The 21,972-nt window shown below is 36.5% G+C and overlaps 3 long non-coding RNA genes and 1 pseudogene across 3 annotated transcripts in view; 1 reads left to right on the plus strand and 3 right to left on the minus strand.

The window, feature by feature from the left end:
- LOC124909399 (uncharacterized) overlaps nucleotides 1-339 on the plus strand; it is a 38,409-nt gene extending 38,070 nt beyond the window's left edge. The window contains exon 2 of the long non-coding RNA XR_007095979.1: nucleotides 66-339. This is a non-coding gene — a long non-coding RNA (uncharacterized LOC124909399). The remainder of the gene's footprint in view (nucleotides 1-65) is intronic.
- Nucleotides 193-13,930, minus strand: LOC107986104 (uncharacterized). Its single transcript, XR_001740816.1, has 3 exons — nucleotides 13,900-13,930; nucleotides 9,408-9,521; nucleotides 193-257 (listed from the first exon to the last, which is right to left on the minus strand). It is a non-coding gene; the product is annotated as an uncharacterized LOC107986104 (long non-coding RNA).
- ARHGEF28P1 (ARHGEF28 pseudogene 1) lies at nucleotides 10,461-10,636 on the minus strand (annotated as a pseudogene).
- On the minus strand, nucleotides 13,922-21,758 carry LOC105374004 (uncharacterized). Its single transcript, XR_924266.2, has 3 exons — nucleotides 21,678-21,758; nucleotides 21,182-21,300; nucleotides 13,922-13,961 (listed from the first exon to the last, which is right to left on the minus strand). It is a non-coding gene; the product is annotated as an uncharacterized LOC105374004 (long non-coding RNA).
- Nucleotides 21,759-21,972: the final 214 nt, after the last annotated feature.

Below are 21,972 nucleotides of genomic sequence, written 5' to 3' on the forward strand. Positions count from 1 at the left end.
TGACATCGTTCAATTTTCTAGGCCAGGCAACCAAAAATTGGTAACTTCCATTTCTTCTTTCTTAGTACATTTGCTCTTGGATCCCATCCACCACGCTGTGAGGAAGCCAAATTACCTCATGAAGATGCCCTCAAGGAGCTGAACCAAAGGCTCTGGCCCATAGCCTTACGGATCTCCAAGTTGAAAGTCAGCACCAACCTGCTAGTCATAAGAGTGAGTCATCTTGACAGTAGATCCTCCAGCCTCCAACAGATGCCCTGTGGAGCAGAGAGGAGTCATTCCTATCAAACCCTGAAAAATTCTAGATCTCTAATAAAATAAATTATTGATACTATCTGAGCAATTAAGTTTTGGGGTGATTTGTTAGGTATCAATACATAATTGGAACAGGAAAACATGCAAAGGGATATCAGTGCTGCCTAAGGTTGGGGAAGTGAATATTATCATGGGGAGAGCTCTGTGTCCTCTGTGCTCCCTACATCTAAATTGGCTTTGAATGTTTCAGCCTAACATCCATATGTATCCTAACTTCCATATGGATATGAAAGTTAAACAGACACACACATTAAACAAGGTTATGTATTGGTCAGTTGATGAAAATGTGACAAGAGGCTCACAAGAACCTAAGCCTGTATTTCTCCTAGAAACAATGTTTCAGTAATAGTAAATTCAGCATTCATGGAGACTTTATAAAACATAACTATCATGAACAAGAATCAACTGTATCTATTCCAATCTAACATCTCAATGATTCTGCCTAATTTGCAGATATGTATGTACATGCACACACACACATAAAAGACAACATGATAATATAGGAAATCATTGATATAAACCATGAATCATCAGCCCTGATTCTATTTGGTCTTTTATCATATACAATTTATTAAAATATATGAAAAAGTACAAGTGCTATTTTATGGACAGACTCACTAATATGGTGTCCAAGTAACCTGTTTCTCAGTCATCTGCACCACATATAAATTATGTTATCCACACTTTAACTTTTGAATAAGGCATTGTTCTCTGGATGAGAAATGAGGATAAATCATGACTTCCTACATATAATGTGAACTTAATAAAAACTATGTTAAATTGAAATACATCTGATTAGATAAATACAAGGCAAAGATGGTGTGGGTGGATTGAATGTGGGTGCTCTAAATAGACTGGTTAATACTCCAAACCCTTAGCTGTGATTAAAGTTTTTTCTACCACTCATTCACTCTTTTCTTTTAGTCACTGATAAATCTCATAGGTCCACTGCCAGGAGAAGACCTCCTTCTGAATATGTGATGATTATATGATGAAAAATCTGCAGTCCCAAATGTTAACTTGTGTTTCATTTTCTAAATCTAAACTCAAAATCCTTTAGAGTTGGTTCATGGCAGCTGAAGGATTGGAAACAGAGAAACACTTAAATCTAACTTTTTCTGCATGAGCTACAAGTAATCATTTACCCTCTGCTCTCTCTTCCAGATGTTCCTAATCACTCCTCATCCTCCTCCCTCCTGCCACACTGAACTTTTTAATGTGCAGCATACTGGAGAGAAAACGAGTACTTTGGTCAGACAAGGAAACAGAGCTGAACATGGAAAAAAGAACCATATTCTAATTTTAAAGAAAGTGGCTCCGCAGAATCTTAGATTTTCCAAGCTGTGGGGCCTTTATTGTGCTAGGAAAAAAAAGGGAAAATAATACACAAAACTGAATCTATTATATTTTCCCTTAATGGCAAATCTTGATAAAAGAAAATGGAACTTTAGAATGGAAGGAGCATCTGGGCTCATTTTCTAATGAAATATCTTTACAAATGAGAAACCTAAGGGTCAGAGAGAAAATGTGACTTGCCCAAGCTCTCACAGCTTTCCATGACAGAAGTAGAATCTAAGTCTTGATGCTTATATTTTAGTATAACTAAGTCAGGTAATAGCAGAGAACACTCAGAAACTTTAACAGTATGTCAATTTCTTGGACTATAATGTTGATGACTGTTTTAGGATTGATTATTTTAAAGATACAGAAATATTTTTTCTGTCCTTTTTTTTGGCAACAACAGAGCGTGCTTTTTTCTCTCCTCATTATTCTGTGGGGAAATTTTGTGAAATTCTGTCCAGTAAAACTGACTGAGGCAGTTGGGAGAATGACCACTGCCTTCATGTAGTAACAGAAGCAATAATCTCTAGTGAGAAGACAATTGGTTGCAGGCAAGTCTCACTGGTACTATGATAGGGGACCCAGATACATTAGAGAAAAGCAAATTAACATGACCCCCAGGTCTCTGGAGTCATATAAGACGCTAAGTCTAAGTCATATAAGTCCCTTATAACTTCATAGTCATAAGGGACTTGAAGCCTATGTGAGTTCATTGTTATGTGATGGAGAGTGGAGCAATGGAGCAAGGAAGAATGAGTGGAAAACTGTTTGGTGTTTAACTAATGTGCTCATAGAAAACCTGATAATTTTTGGCTAGTTCAAAGTTGTGTCTGACCTGAAGCAACTGTTATTGCCTACTGACTAGAGTTCTTTGTGGAGGTTATATGATTCACTTGAAGTGTTTTCCAATACCAAATTGGTTAGCTAATTTAAATAAGGAACCAGATATGTTATTTCTTCCCCAGACTTCTTTCAACAAAAGCTAATTTTCTTTCCTTCCTCCTATCCAAAACACAACTAATAAAATTGGAAATTCTTTTTTTTTTTTTTTTTTTTTTTTGAGACGGAGTCTCGCTCTGTCGCCCAGGCTGGAGTGCAGTGGCGCGATCTCGGCTCACTGCAAGCTCCGCCTCCCGGGTTCACGCCATTCTCCTGCCTCAGCCTCCCGAGTAGCTGGGACTACAGGCGCCCGCTACCACGCCCGGCTAATTTTTTGTATTTTTAGTAGAGATGGGGTTTCACCGTGTTAGCCAGGATGGTCTCGATCTCCTGACCTCGTGATCCGCCCGCCTCGGCCTCCCAAAGTGCTGGGATTACAGGCGTGAGCCACCGCGCCCGGCCGAAATTCTTAATAATTTAGAGAAACTCAGGAGAACCCCTTAGAAGTATAAAGTATCAATAGGACATAATCTGTGACTCATGGTTAAAATATGCTTAGTCAGTGTTCAGGGGCTCTGTGTGGCACCACTCCAACGACATCGTTTGTAACATTTTTGCACAAATGGAGCAAGACTATTAGTCTGGTTTGATGAAACACAAATCTGAAGAGATGGGATAATGGAGTAGTATCACAAATCAAGAAAGCCTGAACTATGTGAAAAACCTCGACCCATATAAGAAAAATATGAAGAAAAACAAGTTAATCAGAAAAAATGAGAGCCATAATAAATTATCTAGTTTGGGGAGAATGCATAACATTCTCGAGTCCAGCAGGAGGGACATATGTCATATTTATACCTCAGGATCACAAAAATGGCAGAATTGAATCATGGCAGCAAGGAGGACCTCAGATACCTATTCTTGAAATCTCCAGTAGATCCCTTGTTGGGTTCTTTATTTCCACCTTTCTCGATCATGTCTACATCTATTCCTCATCTGGAGTCAAAGTTAACTTGAGAAATATTCCCTGCCTTTCCATCTCCTGCCCACTCTTGAACCTTGATTCCCACCACTGCATTCTTGATTCCCTATGTTCAGCTCTTTGGCCTTCTTCCTCTTCCTAGAAGATGCAAAGACTATTCACACTTTGGGGCTTGTGCACTTGCTATTGCTCCGTGTGGAATATTCTACCCTAAGGCATTTTTATGGTTTAATCCCTCTTGGAATTTGGCTCTCAGCTTAAGTGTTACTTCTTTAGTGAGGCCTTTCCTAAGCATCTAATTTAATGTAATGGATATAACTCCTTACCCATAACTTTCTGTCATATTATGGTAATTTACTTTGTTTACAGAACCTGTAATTAGCTGAAATTATTTTGACTTTTTTTGTTTATTATGTCCTCTGTCTCCTCTCTCTGTCACGTTCTCTGCTATATTTTTCTTAACAAGAGCCTTACGTGACACATAGTAAGTACTCTTTATATATTTAATGTGAAAATCAAGTTACCTGACTAACCCTGAGGTTGCTTTGCTAATAATTTCATCTCTTAATGAGTCCATAAATAACCAAAAGGAGTTGCTAATTTGAATTTAATTCTTAGCAACAAGGGAAAACTGACTGAGTCAACGGACGTGAAAGTAACTTTGGAGAATGTGAACAATGTTCTTGGAATTTATAATAAAGCTGTGGAAAGCAATCCTGGGGGACAGCCAGATATCTACTCTGGACTTTAGGAAAGCAGGCCTCAAAAAGTGTAAGACAAATTAGGAATGACTACATGGCTAGAGATTCAAAAGAGAAGACTGCTTCAGGAGATGAAAGAATAACAATAACATTTTGATAATACAGTTACTGATTACATTTTTTAAAACAAACAGAAATTGGAACCCTAGGTACTGTCTGGGATGAGGTCATTTTTAAAAAGACATGTACAAAAGTCAGAATAAACAGTGTATAGCCAAAAATAAAAATATAAGAGTTCCATAAACCATAAAAATATAAGAGTTCCATAAACCATAAACTCTTATAAAAATATAAGAGTTCCATAAACCATCAAGTTGAAAATAGGCTGTGGAAAACAAAATACAAAATACAGAACTTAAATGATTTTTTTAAAAATTAAAGTTTGCTCTTCCCACAGTGAAAAGAACATGTAGAATCAAATTTATTTGGGAGAGACAGTGTAACATTAGTATAATGCTAAACTCATTGTTTTATTCCAACTTTTATATATAGAGAAAGATATTCAATCCAAAAAAAGAAGAAATATGGAGAAGAGGAAAATAAGGCACAAGATAAAATAAGACAAATTAATGGGGAGATCAATGTAGCCCAGAGTATTAAAACAACTTGAAGTAACACAATGTTTACATTGAATAACATTGAATAGCAAGGAGACAAAAAAGGAGCCTTATCTTAAAGTTCACAATGAATAAAATGAATTTTTGAAACTAGAGACCTATTAGTTTGTGTCTTTCATGATAAAGTTCTAAAGCATGTTATTAGGGCTAGATGGGGGTGTATTCCGTGAACTAGGAACATGGCATTATGTTAATATAAATAAATCCAAACAACTGTTAAATGGGTTTTCTTACACAAATAAGCTTGGAAAATGTTGGATTAATTGAAATTAAAGAAGATTTTCCTTTATTTACTGCAAGATTCGCAGTTTATAACATGCAATCTGCACTGAGACTTTCCAAGAAAAGGCAGATCATATGTGGTGTTTTTAGAATCTCATGGAACTAGTATCTTAAAGAACATACTTTGGGAAACAGTGTTCTGGTGACATGCTGCAGGGTTTTATACTTTCATATATTGTGCTCCACACTTTTGCTAATAACTTAAACAAGGACAAGATGGCCTGCTTATCACATCTACAGCCAACACAAAGCTAGGAGAGACAGTTAATATGATGGATGGCTAAATCAAGTTTAAAAAAATATTATGACAGGTTGGAATATTGGGCTGAAACTAACAAGATAATAGTGGTCTCCAAAATTATCTCATATGTACAAGACAGGAGACACCTGGCTTAATAATAGTCATTTCTATCAACAAAATCTAGAGAGCTACAAACTCAGTATGAGCCAACAGTGTGTTGCCTTTGCAACAAAAACAATGTAGTAAAACTGTTATACTGGGATGTCTTAACAGAACAAAAGGGCTTAGAGGAATTCCTAACTCCGTTGTCTTCAGTACTGGTCAGGCAACATTTGGAAGGTGGAGTGATGGAAATATGCTCAGTGGAAAGCTACTGCACCTATCATTAGCCATTAAGACCTGCATTCTACATTAACTAAACTCTAAGTCAACCTTAATAGACGCCTACTATAAAGAATAACTCTTGGCCGGGTACAGTGGCTGATGCTCGTAAGCCCAGCACTTTGTGAGGCTGAGGCATGCAGATCATGAGGTCAGGAGTTCGAGACCAGCCTGGCCAACATAGTGAGACCCCATGTCTACTAAAAATACAAAAATTAGCCAGGCATGGTGACAGCCACCTGTAATCCCGGCTACTCAGGAGGCTGAGGCTGGAGAATCATTTGAATCCGGGAAGCAAAGTTTGCAGTGAGCTACGACCATTCCATTGCACTCCAGCCTGGGCAACAGAGAGACACCCCATCTCAAAAAAGAAAGAAAGAAAAAAGAACAACCCTTAAATATGGAGCTAAAATAATGCATATAATGTTTTCAAGAGGAATAAAAAATTGCTAATTCACATTAAAAACTGATTTTACTCAAGAGGAAAAGAAAACATAAAGAATAAAATACCAGAAGTCATCATCAGTCCTAAATAATGTTTCTACTTATTGATCACCCCATAGGTACACATATTGCTTCTAATCCTCAGAAAAACTCTGCAAGGTAGATATTATTAATCCCTATCAACAGATGAGGAACTGGGAATGTCCATGTAATGCCAGCCAGTAAGTCGCTGAACCTGAGTACAAACTCAAATTTGTCTGACTCTTGTGCTCGTGATATTTCCTCTACAGCACTCAATCTTCTGCTAGGGAAAGGAAGGCAGACTTGGTCAGATTGTCCTTTTCCATGCATCAATCTCTATTTTATAATAGAAAAAAATCACAGAATGTAAATTCCTCAAGGAAAATGACCCTACTTTATACCATTCCTACCCACTCCCACTGCTACCAGTATAGCAATAATATAGTATATAGTAAGCAATTTAATCCAATTCAAAAAACATTGATTCATTCAGCAAATATTTATGAAAAGTCTACCATGTGCAGGCACTATTGTTGGCCATGAAGATACAACAATGAAAAAAACATGCAAATTCCCAGACCTCATGAAGCTGATTTCATAACAGGAGAAATTACAATGCCATGAGAAGCATATGAAAGATATGTTTATTCTTGGCCACTTCATAAAAATTATTTAAAATTGCCCATTAAATAATTGTTTTTAGGACTGTGGATTAATTTCTATTGCTGTGTGACAATTGGCCACAATCTGTAAAACAACACTTATTTATAATCTCACCATTTCCATGGGTCAGGAATCTAGCACCACGCAGCTGAGTTCTCTGCTCAGAGTCTCACATAGCTGAAATCAAGGTGTTGCCTTGGGATGCTGCCTCACCTGAAGCTTGTGGTTCTTTTCCAGGCTCATTCAGAGTGTTGCCAGAATTCAGTTCGGAGATTGTAACACTGAAGTCCCTGTGTTCTTGACTGATGTCTAGGAGGCCCCTTCTTGATTAATGTGAAGGAGCTCCTAGAGGATATCTGCCATTCCCCAACATGTTGGCTCTCTCTCAACATGGCAGGTGCCCATTTAGGGCTAACAAGAAAAGGTCTCTGCTGCTTCCAATTTCTGACTTCTGTCCTTGACCTCTAGAGTCAAATTTACAGGACTCGGGTGATCAGGTCAGACCCACCCAGATCATCTCTGTTTTGATTAACTCAAAGGCAGTTGATCAGTAAATTTAAGTACATCTACAAAATCTTCAGTAATTAAAATCAAAGTTTACAGTGATTAAACTCCATCATTAAAATTAGTAATCTTATCTCTTCAGAAATCTATTTTGCTATATAATATAACATAATCAGAGGAGTGATAGCTCATCATATTTTCATCCATCCATGCTCAAGGGAAGGAGACTACACAAGCACGAGTCATTTGGGGCTCATCTTAGAATTCTGCCAATCACAGGCTGTAAAGGAGTTTGAGAATTCATTTCTTCCAATTTCTTGCTTTATATTTTTCATTCATTAATTCACTCATTTAATATATATTTACTGAACACAATTACATGTGTCCTATGTGAAGAGATGCAGTTAAGTAAGTAAGACAGAAGTCATTGCTCTCAAGGCCCTAAAAGTCTAAAATAATTCAATAAATTGGGCTGGGTGCGGTGGCTCACTCCTGTAATCCCAGCACTTTGGGAGGCTGAGGTGGGTGGATCACTTGAGGTCAGGAGTTTGAGACCAGCCTGGCCAATGCAGTGAAGCCCTGTCTCTACTAAATATATATAGATTAGCCAGGTGGTGTGATGGCATGCACCTGTAATCTGAGCTACTCAGGAAACTGAGGAAGGAGAATCGCTTGAACCTGGGAGGCAGAGGTTGCAGTGAGCCAAGATCATACTGCTGCATCTAGCCTGGGTGGCAGAGCAAGAGTCTGTCTCTAATAATAATAATAATAATAATAATAATAATTCAATGAATAATAATAATTCAATTAATAATAGTAAAATAAAACAGTATGATAACAGCAATAAAAGTATGTGAACATATAGATTTGGCACAGAGGAAGGGATCAATCATCTAGAAGGGCCAGAGAGCATTGTGATATGATGCAGTAACTATATATTAGTAAGTGGACTCAAACCCTTCTGAATAAATAACCTTTATTTTGAGAGTTTCATGGAAGGACTTACCATGATGACACATTCTCTCTTACTAGTATTAGCTTGTTGTCATTAACAACTATGAATACTAAAATTTCCCACTTCTTCTGAGGTGTACCTTGCAAGGTGCAGCTCCCCACTCCAAGGGCTAATCAATTTCCAGGTACGTCTGTAAAGTGAAATTGATGAGTCTATGGAGAGGTCTTTATCCATCCATGAATGGAGTCAGAAAGGTCTCATTTTCTGTGAACAATAACACTATCTACTTGCTTTATTACTTTCTTCCATATGTAGGTTGGAAATACAGGTTAAGTCATACCACTAGTAAATCTGTAGCAAGATCTCACAGGGGAATAAAAAACAGTGAATGCATTCATTTCTTGGCTTACATATGGGGGAAGTACATGAATGCCTGGACTCCAAAGGGACAACTTTGTACAGTTCTGTTTGTAGTTACATATGGTCTGTATAAACAGATGAAGGGTCTTTGGCTTCCTTTAGACCAAGAAGGGTAGTGAGATTCTAGCAGCCAGAAACAAAACACTGAAGGCTGGCTACAAACAAGTTTGATCAATGGTCTGAGAGCTTCAATTCACCATTCTATTTCCTTAGCAAGCACTTCATCTTGTGCCAGCCACTGCTGTGCATGACGTTTGATTTTAGGGACTGGCTATTCATCATCTTTTGGTTTTCTCTCCAGGCACGAGGGTGCCAATAAGGCTGCTTATTGCCTCAGGATAGCAGGTGGCAATGTTGGCAGTTAAACAGTCAGCGAGATGTCAATCTTACTTTTATTGCTCTGTTCCAGAAAAACATAGAACTGAATGAAAGCACATTTCCCCACCTCTCAAGTTTTCTAAACTGTTACATTATTTGGAAAAAAGAAAAGCTTTGCAACATAGAAGTTTCTTTTAGTTCAGAGATTCTACTTGATATTTATTTCAAGAATAAATGAATGAATTCTTCATAGATTCTGCCGAATATGTCAAGGAAGATTTACCTTTTTCTGTAAAAGCAAATAAGGACGTTGTCTTTTGTAGTAAGATTTTGAGTGATTTACTGTCTCATGAGTTGATCCATGCATGTCGTCTGCAAGGTTTCATATCATCCCAGACTAAAACGAAACATGATGAGAACAGTGTTAATTCTATACCTAGATCCTCTCAGAATCCCTTTGTGGTTTCTTTCTGTGCTCCCACCCCTTAACTCCTCCATGCAGTCCTCCCAAAGGTTTACTCCCACACTTTGCTTCAGAGGACTGTCGATGAGCAACTGGAGCTGCTCTTCCCAGAGATGCAGCATGCTGGGAGATATTGTTCCAAGGGTAGCTCACAGTTTATGACATCAGCTCTGTGTTGTAATTTCTGTTCTACCCTACCTTAGACAACGGCTGAGATTGAGACATGGCTTGGCTTCTTCCCTTCTATTTTCTCTCATTAGCTTCTATTAGAAGAACTTCCTTAACAAATCTACTCATTCAGATAAGTATTTAAAGAGATCCCTCTAGCTGTGACATGCAGAAGAGAGAGTTGGCCAAGATTACATGAAAATAAGACTGGCCTTCGAAATATTGAGCACATCATACTTCTTTGGGTAGAAACACTTCGCGGCGGAGGGGGGAGCAGGCAGTCCCACCTTCAGTCAGAGCAGAAACTCCTTCTAAAGCACGCATTACAGAGAATCATTCAGCTTAAGCTTGAAGATCTGGAAGCTCATTCTCTTACAGAACAGTTTTTTTTAATATAGTCACACCTGTTATAAACATCTTCCTATAATAGGCTTAAATGAGTCTCCCATGAGTTTTGCCCGTTGCTCCCATTTCTGCTGTCTATAATCTCACAGATGAAAACTGATCCTTTTTCCATGTGTGTAATGGTTAATTTTATGTGTCCATGTACCCCTTGAACTTAAAATAGAATTTGAGGGAAAAAAAAAACAGAAAAAAGAAAGTGCTACTCCCCAAAATAGATTGTTCCCATACCGACAAATTGATGCCTGCATTCTCTCGAGCGTGCATTATTGTATACCAGAATCACTATGCACAAACATGGCAAGAAAGGACCTATCCCAAAAGTATTTCTGGAAAAGTTTAATATCTGCCTCCAACAAATACTTGGCTGTGTGGTTAAGGGTCAGTATCAATGTCACTGCATTACAGTGAATGTAATGCAGGGAGCCTTCTTCACGAGCTGCACTGGAGAGAAGCTTGGGGATGATCTTCCCCCAAAACTGAAGCAACACAAATCAAAACCAACACACAACTTTAAAGACACCAGCCCCAGGATAGCAGTACTTAGGATCACTGCCCCTGAGATTACAAATCCAACTGGCAAAATGATCCTTGAAAGTCACTTACATGCAATAAATACATAAGATCATGAAAAAAGAAATTATGTGTCAACTTTACTGGGCCACAGGGTACCCAGACATTTGGTCATACATTATTCTGAGTGTGTCTTTGAAGGTGTTTCTGGGTGAGATTAATATTTAAAAGAATGAGTAGAGTGAGTAAAGCAGATAACCCTTCCTAATGTGAGTGGATCTCATTTGATCAATTGAAGACTTGAATAGAACAAAAAAGCTGAGTAAATGAGAATTCCTTAAACCCTGATTGCTTGGAATATTGGTTTTTTTCCACCTTCACCTCAAACTGAAACCCAGCTCTTCTTGGGTCTAGAGCCTGCCAGTTTTTGAACTGGAACTACATCATTAGCTCTCAGGTCTCCAGTTTGCCAAGTGCAATAATGCATTTACTACATATATACATACATGCATACACACATACACAAACAAACACAATTGATTCTGTTTCTCTGCAGAACCTTGACTAATACAACAACCCGCAGGTAGGAATATCCCTATGTAGTCTAATTTAACATCTACTGATATCTCAAACATATTTCATCCCCCTTGCCCAGCAGAAACCTTTGGCACTCATAAGTACAAATGAATAACATGAGAAAATAGTACATTAATTAAGGAATAACTTTTGTTTTACTCTTATCCTAAATTTTATCACCTTTTGAAATAGAAGACACCTGACTAAAGCTCTAAAGAGGTTGGGTGACCTTGAGGAAGTCATACCATCTGTCTAGGGCTGCCGCTTTATCTTCTATATCAAAAGAGCTTTGAGTGGGTGAGATACAGGGAAGAATATTTTAATTTGGGAAGTAGAAGTCTTGATAAGAGAATTAATACAGGAAGTTGGGGTCTGGTAGAGTCTCATAATTGAGGCTTCTATAAATTCTGGAGTGGCACGAGGTGTTTGAGATAAGGAAGGGTGCAAGAGGGTGGAAAAAGACTTCTGGTCATCTTTTTTTTTTTTTTTCTCAGCCCAACATAAAAAGCTGAGCATAAAAAGAAATTTCCACTGATTATTTTGACTGATGCCTAGTTTACACATACTTCTAAAACAAATTACTAAATTTAATATCTTTGTCTGTGTATTTTAGACATAAACTATTGTCTTTGATCACTTTTTATGTGGTGAATCCAGCTGTTAAGAACAGAATCAACAGAGTGTTTCTTGGCTACAAAACAATTGCTAAATCATATATTAATATCTGACTTGGTTGGCAACTCTAGGATAAAATTCTCTAAGAGTATAAGTCAAGGAAATAAAACCTCATGGCCTTCAATTACGATCTTTCCTGTAGGCCAGGCTTTTAAGGCTATGGAATAGAAAGATCGCACATGACTAAAACTTGCAAAGAAGTTTTGTGTTTTAGCAATAGTTATTTCCTGGGAAAAATTAATATCTCCTTGAGAAGATTACTTTCATCTTTTTAAAATCTTGGCCATTTCTCTTTATGTATTTCTCAAAAATTAATGGGTTAATAAAAAAGATTTGGAAAATGATAGCAAGCACTGAGCTATTTGAAGATCTAGACATCTTAACTGGATTCATTTACTTAACTAACACAACTCTACATTTGATAGTAGTTTTCCTTTGGCTACACACCAATAGCATTTCTAATGTCAGTCAACTTTATTTATACACAAACTCTCTGAAGAGAATGTGTAACATTTCAAATGTATGGCCTGAAATTATTTTAATAATCTTCTATCATACCAAATTATTATTTAAATCTTATCCTAGATTTCCTCATCTTTTACTTTATTTATTTATATATATATATTTTTATTATACTTTAAGTTCTAGGGTACATGTGCAAAACCTGCAGGTTTGTTACATATGTATACATGTGCCATGTTGGTGTGCTGCACCCATTAACTCGTCATTTACATTAGGTACATCTCCTAATGCTATCCCTCCCCCCTCACCCCACCCCACAACAGGCCCTGGTGTGTGATGTTCCCTTTCCTGTGTCCAAGTGTTCTTATTCTTCAATTCCCACCTATGAGTGAGAACATGCGGTGTTTGGTTTTTTTGTCCTTGCGATAGTTTGCTGAGAATGATGGTTTCCGGCTTCATCCATGTCCCTACAAAGGACATGAACTCACCATTTTTTATGGCTGCATAGTATTCCATGGTGTATATGTGCCACATTTTCTTAATCCAGTCTATCATTGTTGGACATTTGGGTTGGTTCCAAGTCTTTGCTATTGTGAGTAGTGCCGCAATTTAGTTCTTGGACTTCAGCCCATTCTTCTGAGCTTTAGAAAGGTGTCTTTTATTTTAAAAGATGACGTTATAGGCATGGGCAAGGACTTCATGTCTAAAACATCATCTTTTAAAATAAAAGCCACCTTTCTAAAGCTCAGAAGAATGGGTTGAAGTCCAAGAACTAAATTAAGTCTGGGTGACCTTGAGGAAATCATAACACCTCTTTAGGATTGCTGCTATTCCTTTTATGTCAAAATAGGCTTTAAAATATAAGATCTCTGAAATCACTCTCAACCAGATGATTCTACAATTAAAATAGGTTCTGTCAATATAAGTTATGTGTATACTCTTATTTAGCAGTATTTACTTTTTAAAAACTGAAATTTAAAAAGTATAAGCATTTTCTTTTACCTATTCACAATAACAAAGACATAGAATCTACCTAAATTCCCATTGGTAGTAGACTGGATTAAAAAATGTGGTACATATATACCATCGAATACTGTGCAGCCATAAAAAGGAACAAGATCATGTCCTTTGCAGCAACATGAATGGAATTAGAGGCCATTATCCTAAGCAAATTAACATGGAACAGAAAACCAAACACTGCATATTCTCATATGTAAGTGGGAGCTAAACATTAATATATATGGGCACAAAGAAGAGAACAACAGACAGTGGTGCCTACTTGAAGGTGGAGGGAGGGAGGAGGGTGAGGATTAAAAAATGACCTATCAGACACTATGCTTATTACCTGGGTGATGAATAATCTGTACACCAAAGCCCCATGACACACAGTTGACCTATATAACAAACCTGCATGTGTATCCCTGAGCCTACAATAAAAGTTTAAAAAAAGAGAAAACATCATGCTTAATGAAATAAGCCAGACACAGAAAGCCAAATATTGCATGATTCCACTTACATGAGGTTACCCAGAGTATTCAAATTCATAGAGACAGAAAGTAGAGTGATGGTTGCCATGGGCTGGAAAACAAGAGAAAATGGGGAGTTGCTGTTTAATGGAGACAGTGTTTCATTTTGGAAGATGAAAAGAGCCCTAGAGATTGGCTGCACAATGTAAACGTATTTAACATTACTGAGCTCTATGCCTAAAAATTATTAAGATGGTGAATTTTACATTACATATTTTACAATTTTATATTAAAATTAAAAATATATCTAATTCATGAAAAATAGAAATACACAGAATAAAGCAAAAAAGCAAGCATTATTTTCATAAATACTGAACAAGTTGGTCTAAGTGAGAAATAAATTTTTAAAAAATGGAATGTATATTCCTTGGCATAATAGCCATAGCATATTAACTTTACAGTTGGTAGCTTATAAAGTTGCGGGAAATGTCAGATGTGGGGTAGGAAAGACATCTTCCCTTCTTCACACAGTGTTCTGCCTCTAAAATTTAGTAGGCTCAGCCTCACTCCTTCCTGAGATCTTAAGTTAAAGCAGAGTTTATCTCCCCATTTCAGATTGCCTATGAATACTGGGCTCACATCCTAGTTCGAGTGGGAAATTAGAGCTTTTTGTTGAATTGTAAATGAAACTGTGTGGTTTCAACTGATAAGGAGGATGACTGCCAGGCCACTGGCACACCCACACAGTGTCCAGAATTTGCTATGTATTTGCAGCAAAGGCACCAATAATTATCCAGGGAATGCTCCTGGAAAGCACATGGTGATTTCTCTTCTCTTACAAATATCAGACCCGATGAAAGACTACAGTAGGGCTTTTATTTGAGTGTACACATGTAAAAGAACAGAAAGAATTGGCATACGCTGAGAAAACAAGGGTATTTGAGCATGAATTCCTCACACCAAATTAATCTCTTTTATCTTTTCTTTTGGTTTCTAACATCCTGAGCATAAATATATATGTCTTATATATTTATTGAACAACCATATTTGGAGTGGCTACTGAGTCTATTTTAATGCAGAAGACGCAAAGACGTATGTTACAAACAATGCCCTTAAAGAGACAATTTGAAGAGAGGAATGTAAAGGTCATTTGGCACAAATGCAGCATTTCAAATATGTATTAAGTGCAGTGATCACACAGAACCACTGAGGTAATGACTGCCACACATACAAAGGCATGTAGGGCTAGAAAAGCCATGTCTTTTGGGCAACTGAAGAAAGTAGTTTGGAGCTGAAGGCATGAGAGGAAGCTAGCAAGGAAAATTGGAAAAGTAGGCAGGTATTAGGCAGCTATAACTGATTTCAAGCCAATTTATGACACAGACATATATTGTTATTGGATGTCAACAGCAGAAATGGATATCAAACAAAGACACTTTTATTCTCCAAAATTATTGGTGACAAGTTTATCTGTTTTGTGGTAAAGTTATATACTTTTCTATTTATATAAAGTGAATCATTCAGACTCTGCAAGAAACCAAACCAAAACAAACAAATATAACTTAAACCCAAATTCATCAATTCCATTCATTCTTCTACTCAAGGACATGTTATAGCATGAGCATAATGTAAGTCTGAACTCTGCTATTTGCCCTGTTGGTCTCAGTTCCAGAGCATCTCTCATACAGTGAGTATTTCTCCTTATTTATTTTATTATTATTATTTTTTTTTGAGACAGAGTCTTGCTCTGTCGGCTAGGCTGGAGTGCAGTGGCACGATCTCGACTCACTGCAACCTCCATCTCCCAGGCTCAAGCAATTCTCCTGCCTCAGCCTCCTAAGTAGCTGGGATTACAGGCGTGTGCCACCATGACCGGCTAATTTTTGTATTTCTAGTACAGACGGGGTTTCGCCATGTTGGCCAGTCTGGTCTCGAAACCCTGACCTCAGGTAATCCGCCCACCTCAGTATCCCAAAGTGCTCGGATTACAGGCGTGAACTTCTCCTTATTAATTAAGATTGCGAGATAAAGCATATCCTTATCAGATTCACTATTTCTCCTTACTAGATTTGGATTTTATTTAAAAAATATATGTATGTATCTATATACACACACACAGACACACACACACATATATATATAAAGCAATTCTACACTATCTAAATGCAAATCAACTGCCAGATGCTTAACCAAATATAAATATATAAATATATGAATATACAAATAAAACAAATGTAAGTAACATTCCTATGCTGGAGAAAAAGTAATGAGCTGTGTTAGACTACTTGAGAGATGCTAATTTGATCGCCAGTAGGCACCTTCTGAAGAGACTTAGAATAATTCTGATTTTATACTAATTTTATCATCTGCATCTGGCTTTGTATCCTAAGTTGGATAAAATACATAACTCCATGGTGTACTTATGTTCTTTTTTAAAAAAATTTAGTAATTTAAACTAATTTTGAGAAATATGCAAATGAGTCAATGATGCAATAATTTTATCAATATGAAGTCTCATATTTCACATTAATGAAGATTTGTAACCCTGGTGATATCCCTTTCCTAAAAACCATCACCGTATTGTCATCCTTATCATCATCAGGCATGCATTTTTCGAGAGGAAAACAATAGAATAATAGCAAAACTTGAAGAGACAGTGTCTGCTTTGTAATATTTTAAGTTATTTGATCTTGGTGAACTCTGTCCTTCCTGCCATCCTGACTGTGGCCTGTTTTATGCTTTCCTCCAAATTCCTCACCTGCTTAGCAAATGTGTCCAATCTTTTAAGGAAAGACTTTGTAGTTTATCCAGGCACATGCCATTCTGTTGAGGTTGGGGGTGGGGATCCTCAACATTTATGTTTTAGAGATGATAGGATAATTTTGATAAATATTTTCAAATTTTTTACAGTGATACACTTCTGTGGAAAATCCTGTCACAGCTGGGAAAACCAGTTGAGTATCACGCATACTGACATTTTCAAATCATCTTATTTTTTTAGCCCAGATAAATGCTTGATGGATACCATGGCTCTGCATATCTTGAATCTTTCATGTAGAAGGCAGAGTCTGGGTGTGGAAAGATCATGGTAGGGAGAAGTCGGAGGAATGGAATGTGGTAAGGAAATTTATTGGAATATGGGAACAGACCAGAGCTAAATTGACAGTAGTCAGCCAGCACCCAGGCCAAGAATACAAGCTTCTCTAGAACAGGAATGTTGGCTGTTCTCTTGTGGCTCATCTGGGCTATGGATTCTCACAGTGTGTGTGAAATACCACGGATGTGGGAAAAAAAATAATGTATGTTGATATTTGAATCTACTATCCACTGAGCACTCTGTTGTGATAGATATTAGGTGGAAGATACTCTGCTACCACAAAGCATCATTATTTCATCTTATAAATGTCTAAACCAAGCATGATTTTTAATAAGAGATAAAATGTGGAGTTTTGCTTTTCCAGAATAGTTAGGCAGTATACCACATGACTTACAAGGGAGGAATAAATTAGGAGAGATGTGAAAAACAAGAGTTCCTACAATATATAAACAAATGATACCTGTGTTGCAGTGCCAAAAAATTAAACTTTTAAAAGTATATATATATACTTTATATATACTTTTATATATATATACATTATATATATGTATGTATATGTATATGTGTGTGTGTGTGTGTGTGTATATATATATATATGTATACATATAAACAAATGAATTACCATGGAGAAAATCCCAAAGATGAAGCATTTTTCTCCATGACTGGTCCTTTCAGGTATTTAAGAGAATCCATAAGTGGGAATCTTGAACTTATTTCAATTTTTAAGGAGAAATAAAATTTGAACTTGGAAACAAAGATGAACTCTTCAGGCAAGGGAACAAGCATGATCAGAGGCAAGAAGTGAGGCTCCTTATGATGTATTTTGGTGTCAATTGGAAGACTGATGTAGCCTAAATAGAAAAGTTATGATGAAGACAAGAAGGAAGCATTAGATTCAGGACAGGATGTAGAAGGCTGGGAATACCAGTTTCAAGAAATTATTATAAAAATAAAATTTAAAACTGTTACTCATAGAGATTTCACAGGGTACTTTATAATTTTATAACATCATTTTATTTTTTAGGGTTGTTTTGCAGGCAGTAGTATATGGTCTTGCTCTGTCACCCAGGCTGGAGTGCAGTGACATGAACACGGCTCACTTCAGCTCGACCTTCTGGGTCCAAGCAATCCTCCTGCCTCAGTCGCCCATGTAGCTGAGACCATAGGCACACGCCACCACACTTGGCTAATTTTTTTGTTAGAGACAAATCTCACTTTGTTGCCCAGTCTGGTCTTGAACTCCTGGGCTCAAGCAATCCTCCAACTTTGGCCTCACAAAGTGCTGAGATTACAAGTGTGAGCCACTGAACCCAGCTTAATATAAATTTTTTATAAAGCAAATATTATAAACCATGAAGAAAATGCAACTAAGTCAAAATGTAAAACTTCCTTATGATAAAAATTAAAAGATGATGGATGGTACAGTACTTTGGAAGATAATTTGGCAGCTTCTTATAAAACTAAACATACTTACCCAAAGATCCAGCAATAATTCTTCTTGATATTTACCTTAAACTCGTGTCATGAAGAAAAAAGAAACAAAAAAAACTGGATATGAATATTTAAAGCAGCTTTTATGATAATTGCCAAAACTTGTACCAAAATGTCCTTCAATAGGTGAATGGATTAAAAAAAAAACGTGGTACATCTATAAAATGGAATATTATTCAGCAATACAAAGAAATAAGCTAATAAGCCACAAAAAGACATGGATGAACCTTAAATGTACATTGCTAAGTGAAAGACGCCTGTCTGAAAAGTCTACATGATATGTGATTTCAACAATATGACATTCTGGAAAAAGGCAAAACTATGGAAAGAGTAAAAAGATCAGTAATTGCCAAGGGTTTGGAGAGAGGTAGGGAAGGACAAATAAGAGCACAGAGGACTTCTGGATAGTGAAACTGTTCTGCATAATACTGCAATGGCAGATACATCTTATTATACATTTTTCAAAATCCATAGAAAGTACAACATAAAGAGTGATTCTTAATGTAAACTATGGACTTTAGTCAATAATAATGTATCCGCATCGGTTCATCAACCATAATAAATATACCACACTAATGCCACATGTTAATAATAAAGAAAACTTGAGTAGAGGATAGGTTGAGAGGGTATAGGGGAGCTCTCTGTTTTTGTGTAAGCCTAAAACAGCTAAATAATCTATTGATTAAAAAAAGAACAATAGGATAAAGATGTCTGCAACATATACAGCAAGAAATTAGTGGATGGAATATATAAACAAGCTCCTCAAATCAATAAGAAAAAGACAATGCAATAGAAAATGAGCAAAGGAAATTAATCAGGAAATACACAGAAAAATTCTGAATAGCAAGTAAATACGTACTTGCTGAAGAAAATGCTGAATTTCAAGTAAATATATGCAGCATTCAACAAAATATTTATGGAGTCTTTCTGAGATAGGCACTGTTCTAGGTGCTTGGGATACATGAGGGAACTAAATATGGAGGCGTGTTTGTATGGAGGTAAAATTATTGCAAGTATGACATCATTTGGGCAAACATTAAATATCGGATTTTAGCAACTCTTGGCAAAGATTTAGAAGAACAGAATATTCTATGCCTTAATGGTAGAAGTAAAAAGTAGTTCAAAATTAAAACAAACAAACAAAAACTCAGAATCTTGATAGTATCTTGTAGTATTAAACAGGCAAGGCCTATTACCCAAAAATTACACTTATGAGTATACAACCTAAAAGGACTCTTACACAAGTACACAAGTAAATATAACAATAATGTTTATCACAGCATTGTTGTAATATTTTAAGAATTGGAAGCAATCAGAGAGTTGAAAAATATGAGGTATATACAAAGGAAGGAATACTGTCAAGTAGATAAAAGAAATTTAGCAGATTTTAATATATCAACATGGCTAGATCTCAAACCACAAGTTTAAGGAGAAAAACAATCAACTGGCAGAATATAGAGCATGCAATAAATTATATTAATAAAATTACAAATAACATAATATGTATATTTAAATAGATTAGACTATTACAGGTATAATATTTGTTGCTTATAGGGAGAGCAGAGGGGAATGGTTAGGGGGAATAAAAGCAACTTTAACTTTATCTCTAATATTTTATTTACTTTATGCAGAATTGATAAGTATGGCAAAATGTTAACATTAATTTCAATGAATAGGCATAGCTTCATATATTTTTTGTATTTTTCTGTAATTTAAAAAAGATCTGTAAATATAAATGAAATTGTGAGAAGTATAAGTGAATTTTTTACAACTCTACTCCAAGACAAGCAAATAGTTGTATATACCTATCAGGATTTCTGAGCTAATAAGACTTAACATAACCACTTCCAACCTTTTATGAAAATTAAGGATGTAGACACCAAAAAGGTAAAAGCTTCCAGAAACACAGTGACAATCTGGGCAGAATTTCCTTTAATTTTTAGACCAAAGGAATTGAAGGAAAAATTACAATCTGTGGAATGCTTAAAGGAGGGGAACTAGAAATAAAGCAAACCTACTCACCAGACAATAATTTAAAAATCCCCTTAGCTCTCCCTGTAGTCTGTTCATTGGTCCAGGGAGGGAACAAAATACCTTACCAGACAGAAGAGCTGGCAGCTCTCTTCACTGTGATGCTAGTTTTTTGTGATGGCCAAATGCAGGCTCTCTTTATACCTTCAATCATCAGTATTTCTTGGTCTACAGCTCATCTATTGAGAGGACTCACTGAATGAGAAGCTGGGATGGGCAAGAAGTACTGAGCTGCCTCCCAGGTAGTGAAGTCTCCACATGTAAAGCATTATTGCAGATGTTCTCAATGTAGACATAAATCACCTGGGAGCCTGTACATAATATAGGTTTCTAGGTCTTCCTCCTCCTCACACTAAAGATTGTGATGCAGGGGATCTGGGATTAGTCCCAAGGCTCTGCAATCTGGTGCTAACTGGCCCGTGACTACATTTTAAAAACCACATTGCCATCTAACTCCCAGCAAAAAGATCCCAAATAACAATGTAAACTTAAAACTTTAGGTTTTTTGTTCTTTTTGTTCTTTTATATGTTCTGAGCCCTTTTAGCCATATATTATACATTGAGAAAAGTCCCAAATCAGTCCAAGAAACTGAAAGACACTAGGTGTAGGACTGCAGTTCATACTTATCACCTCTCTTTGGCTGTAGATCTTAGAAGAGAGTTTGACCACCATCCAACCAGAGAACATGCAGAGCCAAAAGCAGTTTGCTTACCTGGTCTGTTGATGAAAACTGGGTCTGGGTATATTTTTCCTTGTTTAAGGAGAAATAAACAGACAACAGCATGGGATCCATGAAAGACTATGATACCACAAGTGAAAGGACAAATTTCCCTAGATAATGAAGAGAAGAATAAACTAAATACACCCCTGAAAATAACACATTATAGAAACAGAAAGAAATTTTTATAACATTTTGCAGTCCTCTTTAAAATATAAGAATATATTTTCATTTTAGCAGATGCAGAGAATCATCAGAGAAAAATATGAGATAATTTGACTGGAAGATGAGATGAAAAGGATAGAAGAAAGAGAAGAGAAGAGGGAAATAAAATAAGAGGTAGAAAGGAATAAAATAGAAAGGGCAGAAAGTAAATCAGCAATTGAAGTTAAAACATGAAAACTCTCCTGTAATATATTTTGAACTTCAATTGATTCCAGTTGGTTTATGTGCTACTGGATAAATTCTGCAGCCCAGGAGGAAAGCTCACCCTTGAAGTACGTTCTCCTAACTTTATCTTTGGATTCCACTCCTCTGCCCGGTCCAGGTACTGTGTCTATCACCAAATAGCTTATCCCAGAGTTAAGCTGGAGTCTCATTATTTTTTTATAAAAAGAATGCATTTTTCTGCTATTTTTATTTAGCACTTGAAAAAAAACCTAAACTATTTTCATGAAGCACTCTGCCAGTAAAAGCTCCTTGTCTATCTCTACATTATAGAGCCAAAAGAGCAATACCATGCCAACTACATTGACAAGTACTTGAGGAAGTATTTTTTTGCATGG

This window comes from Homo sapiens, chromosome 3 (assembly GCF_000001405.40).
Source record: "Homo sapiens chromosome 3, GRCh38.p14 Primary Assembly".
In the NCBI taxonomy this organism is placed as follows: domain Eukaryota; kingdom Metazoa; phylum Chordata; class Mammalia; order Primates; family Hominidae; genus Homo; species Homo sapiens.